This window comes from Homo sapiens, chromosome 14 (assembly GCF_000001405.40).
Source record: "Homo sapiens chromosome 14, GRCh38.p14 Primary Assembly".
Classification (NCBI taxonomy): domain Eukaryota; kingdom Metazoa; phylum Chordata; class Mammalia; order Primates; family Hominidae; genus Homo; species Homo sapiens.
In genome coordinates, this window is record NC_000014.9 from 53,982,154 (window position 1) to 53,988,052 (window position 5,899).

Sequence of the window (5,899 nt, forward strand, 5' to 3'; positions counted from 1 at the left end):
TGTGTTTGAAATATTGTGTGTGTCTGAGGATGTATGTGTTTGAGAGAGACTGTGAGTGTGTGTGTGCATATGAATGTATTTATACTGCAGGACAAATACCACTCGTGGGTCAGACTCGCTGGATTATGGCTGTACCACTAATTGCATCTGGTTTCTATGACTTTGCTCAGGCTTCCACAGAACAAAGTCAGACACAATCTTGTCAAATTTGATCCCTATGAATTTCATGAACTGGGGAATCACAGTAAAGTCTGTTGAACACTTGCCTTTAGCTCATACTAATTAATTAGCACAAGTAAAGCTGCACAAGCTGTATTTTATAAAAAGTTTCTCAGAGATCTCTGAGCTTGACTCTCCTACTAAAATTGGGGGCCAGGATTCCTACAAGTTACAAGGCTGGCCACTTTATATTTCCTAAAAGATTATTTGCACCCACCTCACCCCAACAGGCTCAAATAAGCTTTTGTTACCTTTCAGCCACAACAACTCAACAGTGTTGAGTGCCTTTCATTCAAATACATATAAGCGAGATAGTCCTGTTTCTGCATGACAAATGGTAGCAAAATCTCAGTTTTCTTCTTGCTCTTTCAGTCTTTTTTCTCCTAGGTGGGCCCAGTCTTTGCATTTCAATTCAGTTCAGTTCAATTTAACAAACATTTACCGTATTCAGTGCCAGCTAAGTTCCACACACTATTCTAAGTGCTATTTGTTTTTCCAGGCCAGGATGAGGTAAGGGACAGTGAATGGAGAAAGATGAAGGAGATCCTATCTTGCCCTCAAAGAGTTTCCAACATGTTTCTATACAAATAACTATGCTCTACTCAAAATGTAATGAATGTTAAACCAGTAAATTACCCAAAGTTTAGAAAGAGGGAAGGATTTTCTCTTGAAAGTTTGGGAAAGTGCACTTGATCAGGATCTTAAAGGAGGGTAAACATATTTGTGCCTCATTTCTTTGGGCCTTGAACTACCTACCCCAAACATGTTTTAATTCTATAATAGTGTTGCACAAACAATCACAACTGAATTTTTTTGAACATTTATTCCTACATATCTATGCATTATATGTAATATATGTATATGTATTCCTCACAATAGCCCTGCATAATAAACACTGTTATTATCCCCATTTCTCAGATGAGGAAATTGAGGCAGAGAGAGATTAAAGTAACAAACCCAAGGTAACACAGCTAGTAAGCAGTAGAACCAGTTTTTGATCCCAGGGAGTCTGAATCCAGAGCTGGAGGGCTTAAACACCATGTTGCAATGTACATACATTTTATATTTTATGCCACCAACAACCTGTCTTATGTTTTTCTTTTTCTGCCTACCCAAATATTTTTTCTCTCCAAGTTAGCAGGTTAGCATCCTTTTTTCCTCTTTCAATATTTCTACTACTTGGTGAGAAGAATAACTACACATTTTCTAATGCTTCATTTTGCTTTTAGTCTCAGTATTTTACAGGTGATTACAGAAAGCCCAGTTTGAAGACTACATGCCTAAAGTGAGTCTCTCCTCCATGCTGCTTGTGTTTTGTCCCAGAGGCTCACTGAGGAAGAGTCACATGAGCAGGCTCACTGAAGATAGCAGGGCTATGGATGATTAAACCTAGACCTACACTAGTGAAGATGTTATAAATGTGTGTTTCAATGGTTCTACTTAAATATGATTGCTGCACCAACTTTCACTAAACCCTTCTTGGGCATGCCTGACAATCTAGATTTCTGCCCAAGGAAAGCAAAAGCTTCTCATTCAGATCCTTTTAGACCTTTGTGTTTTTAGATACCCAGAAGCACAAAGTTAACAGCCACATACTCAACACCCACAGTGGGAAGCAGCATATCATGGGTATTGAGAATCTTCAGAATCAAACAAAATAGGAGTTAAATACTGACATTGCTACCAACCTGCTTTGTGCCTGCTTAATCTCTCTGTACCTCAGTTTACACTTCGGTGAAATGAGGATAAGAATATCTCCCTGACAGCATTTTTTGTGTGTGTGAGGACTGAATAAAGTCATATTTGTAAAATGCTTAGCAAAGCATCTGCCTCATAGTCAGCAAACCATAGTTATAATTTTTACAATTTCAATATAATGGGGAAAGCAGTGTGGGGTACTTTAAGGTTTGGAAGGAAGGGATCAAAAGCAAAGAGCTCAGAATTGAGTGCTCCACTGCAAATTGTGCCATATTCTTTGTTAATCCACCTGGCCCAAGGAAGTGATTTACTGTGTTCATTAAAGCAGAACATTTAGAGGAAGAAAAGAAGGGCAGTTGTGCTGGAAACAATACCACAAGGACCCTAAATGTCCTCCATGCACTACTCCCTGATCCCAGTGCCCCAGACCACACCCACAACTCCACCCTTCTCTGAACCTCATTCCACATCTCATGAGGGGCCTAGCTCCTGCTTCCACTTCAGTGCTAGGACATGCCAACTTCTTCATGCTACATCAAGGCCCAGCTTCATATTGATGTGCTGAAATTTCCCTTGAGACTTCCTCTCTGACCCATGGATTATTGAGGAGCATGCTGTTTAATTTCCAAATATTTGGTGATTTTCCAGTTATCTTTCTATTATATGTTTCCATTTAATTCCATTATGGTCTAAAAACATATTCTATGTGTGATGTGCTTTGGCTGTGTCTTCACCCAAATCTCATCTTAAATTGTAACTCCCACAGTTCCCATGTGTCATGGGAGGAAGCTGGCAGGGGGTGATTGAATACTGGGGGTGGGTCTTTCCTATGCTGTTCTCGTAATAATGAATGAGTCTCACAAGATCTGATGGTTCTAAAAATAGGAGTTTCCCTGTACAAGCTCTCTCTTTGCCTGCCGCCATCCATGTAAGATGTGACTTGCTCCTCATTGCCTTCTGCCATGATTGTGAGTCCTCCCCAGCCATGTGGAACTGTAAGTCCATTAAGCCTCCTTTTTTACCCCAGTCCCAGGTATGTCTTTATCAGCAGCATGAAAATGGACTAATACAGTAAATTGGTACCAGGAGTGGGGTGTTGCTGAAAGGATACCAGAAAATTGAAACTGTGTAACGGAAAAAGTTGGAACAGTTTGAAGGGCTCAGAAGAAAACAGGAAAATGTGGGAAAGTTTGGAACTTCCTAGAGACTTGTTGAATGGCTTTGACAAAAATGATGATAGTGATATGGACAATAAGGTCCAGGCTGAGGTGGTCTCAGATAGAGATGAGGAACTTTTTGGGAACTGAAGCAAAGGTGACTCTTATTATGTTTTAGCAAAGAGACTGGTGGCATTTTGCCTCTGCCCTAGAGACTTGTGGAACTTTGAACTTGAGAGAGATGATTTAGGGAATTTGCAGAAGAAATTTCTAAGCAGAAAAGCATTCAAGAGGTGACTTGGGTGCTGTTAAAGGCATTCAGTTTTAAAAGAAAAACAAGGCATAAAAGTTTAGAAAATTTGCAGCCTGACAATGCTATAGAAAAGAAAATCCCATTTTCTGAGCAGAAATTCAAGCTGGCTGCAGAAATTTGCATAAGTAACAAGGAGTTAAATGTTTATCACCAAGGCAATGGGGAAAATGTCTCCAGGGCATGTCAGAGACCTTTGGGGTAGCCCCTCCCATCACAGGCCTGGAGGTTTAGGAGGAAAAAATTATTTCCTGGGCCAGGCCCTGGGTCCCTCTGCTGTGTACAGTCTAGAAACTTGGTGCCCTGTGTCTTAGCTGCTCCAGCCATGGCTGAAAGGGACCAACATAGATCTCAAGCTATGCCTTCAGAGGGTGCAAGCTCCAAGCCTTGGCAGTTTCCATGTGGTGTTGAGTCTGCAAGTGCACAAAAGTCAAGAATTGGGGTTTGGAAACCTCCGCCTAGATTTCAGAGGATGTATGGAAATGCCTGGATGCCCAGGCAGAAGTTTGCTGCAGGGGTGGTTCCCTCATGCAGAACCTCTGCTAGGGCAGTGTGGAAGGGAAATGTGGGGTTGGAGCCCCCACATGTAGTCCCTACTGGGGCACCACTTAGTGGAGCTGTGAGAAGAGGGCCACCATTCTCCAGACCACAGAATGGTAGATCCACCGACAGCTTGCACCATGTGCCTGGAAAAGCTGCAGACACTCAACACCAGCCCATGAAAGCAGCTGAGAGGGAGGCTGCTCCCTACAAAGCCACAGGGGCAGAGCTGCCCAAGACCATGGCAACCCACCTCTTGTGTCAGCATGATATGGATGCGAGTCATGGAGTCAAAGGAGATCATCTTGGAGCTTTACAATTTGACTGCCCTGCTGGATTTCAGACTTACATGGGGCCTATAGCCCCTTTATTTTGGCCAATTTCTCTCATTTGGAACAGCTGTATTTACCCAATGCCTGTACCCCCATTGTGTCTAGGAAGTAACTAACTTGCTTTTGATTTTACAGGCTTATAGGCAGAAGGGACTTGAGATAAGATATTGGACTGTGGACTTTTGAGTTAACGTCAAAATGAGTTAAGACTTTGGGGGACTGTTAGGAGGACAAGGGTGGTTTTGAAATGTGAAGACATGAGATTTGGGAGGGGTCAGGGAGGGAATGATATGGTTTGGCTGTGTCTCCACCCAAATCTCATCTTAAATTGTAACTCCCACATTTCCCATGTGTCATGGGAGGAACCCAGTGGGAAGTGATTGAATTATGGAGGCGGGTCTTTCCTGTGCTGTTCTTGTGACAGCCAATGAGTCTCACGAGATCTGATGGTTTTAAAAACGGACATTTCCCTACACAAGCTCTCTCTTTGCCTGCTGTCATCCATGTAAGATGTGACTTGCTCCTCCTTGCCTTCTACCATGATTGTGAGGCCTCCCAGCCATGTGGAACTGTAAGTCCATTAAACCTTTTTTCCTCAGATAAAGGATATGTCTTTATCAGCAGTGGGAAAACAGACTAATAAATACAATGTGATTTCCCTTCTTTTAATTTTGTTAAGGTTTACTTTATAGCTCAGAATATGGTTTATGTTAGTGAATGTTTCATGTGTGTTTGAGAAGAATATGTGTTCTACTGCCACTGGGTGGAGTGGTCTATAAATGCCAATTAGGTCAAGTTACTGGAAAATGCTGTTTAGGTCTCGTTTTTTTTAATTTTAAAATCAAAAAAAAATTTTTAGAGAGGGGGGTCTCACTCTGTCACCCAGGCTGGAGTGCACTGGTGCCATCTTAGCTCACTGAAGCCGTGAACTTCTGGGCTCAAGTCATCCTCCCACCTCAGCCTCCTGAGTAGCTGGAACTATAGGCATGAACCACCATGCCCAGCCCATCTATATTTTTAGTTATTTTCTGTCAACTTGTTTTATCAATTACTGTGAGAGAAGTGTTGAAGACTGCCATTATAATCATAGTATTTGTCTGTTTATTTACTTCTGTCAGTTCTTTACTCATCTGTTTTGAAGCTCTATTTTTAAATGCATACACATTTGGGATTGCTGTATGTTCTTGGGAAAATTGACTCCTTTTTCATTATGTAAAGTTTCTCTTTATCCCTGATCATTTTTGTTATTCTGAAGTCTACTTCATCTGAAATTAGTGTACTTACTCCAGCTTTCATTTAGTTTGTGTTTTCATTTTATATCTTTTTCCATCTTTTTACTTTTTGATCTAAACCTTTATATTTAAAGTGGGTTTGTTGTACACAACATGTAATTGGATCTTGCTGTTTTATCCAATCTAACAAACTCTGTCTTTTAACTGGTGTGTTTACATCATTTACATTTAAAGTGATTATTGGTATATTGGTATCATTGGATTAAACTCTACCATCTTGCTAGTTATTTTCTATTCATTGCCCCTTTTTTTTTTCCTGAGCTAGGATCTTGCTCTGTCATGACCAGGCTGGAGTGCAGTGGCTCACTGCAGCCTTGAACTCCTGGCCTCAAGCAATCCTCCTGCCTCAGC

At 41.3% G+C, this 5,899-nt stretch overlaps 1 annotated feature.

Annotated features, from left to right (window-relative positions):
• Window positions 206-985: an enhancer, noted in NCBI's record as "OCT4-NANOG-H3K4me1 hESC enhancer chr14:54449077-54449856 (GRCh37/hg19 assembly coordinates)". NCBI's record gives its function as "activates a minimal SCP1, AML or CMV promoter by ChIP-STARR-seq in primed H9 embryonic stem cells {active_cell/tissue: H9 hESC(primed)}" and the evidence as "EXISTENCE:reporter gene assay evidence [ECO:0000049][PMID:30033119]".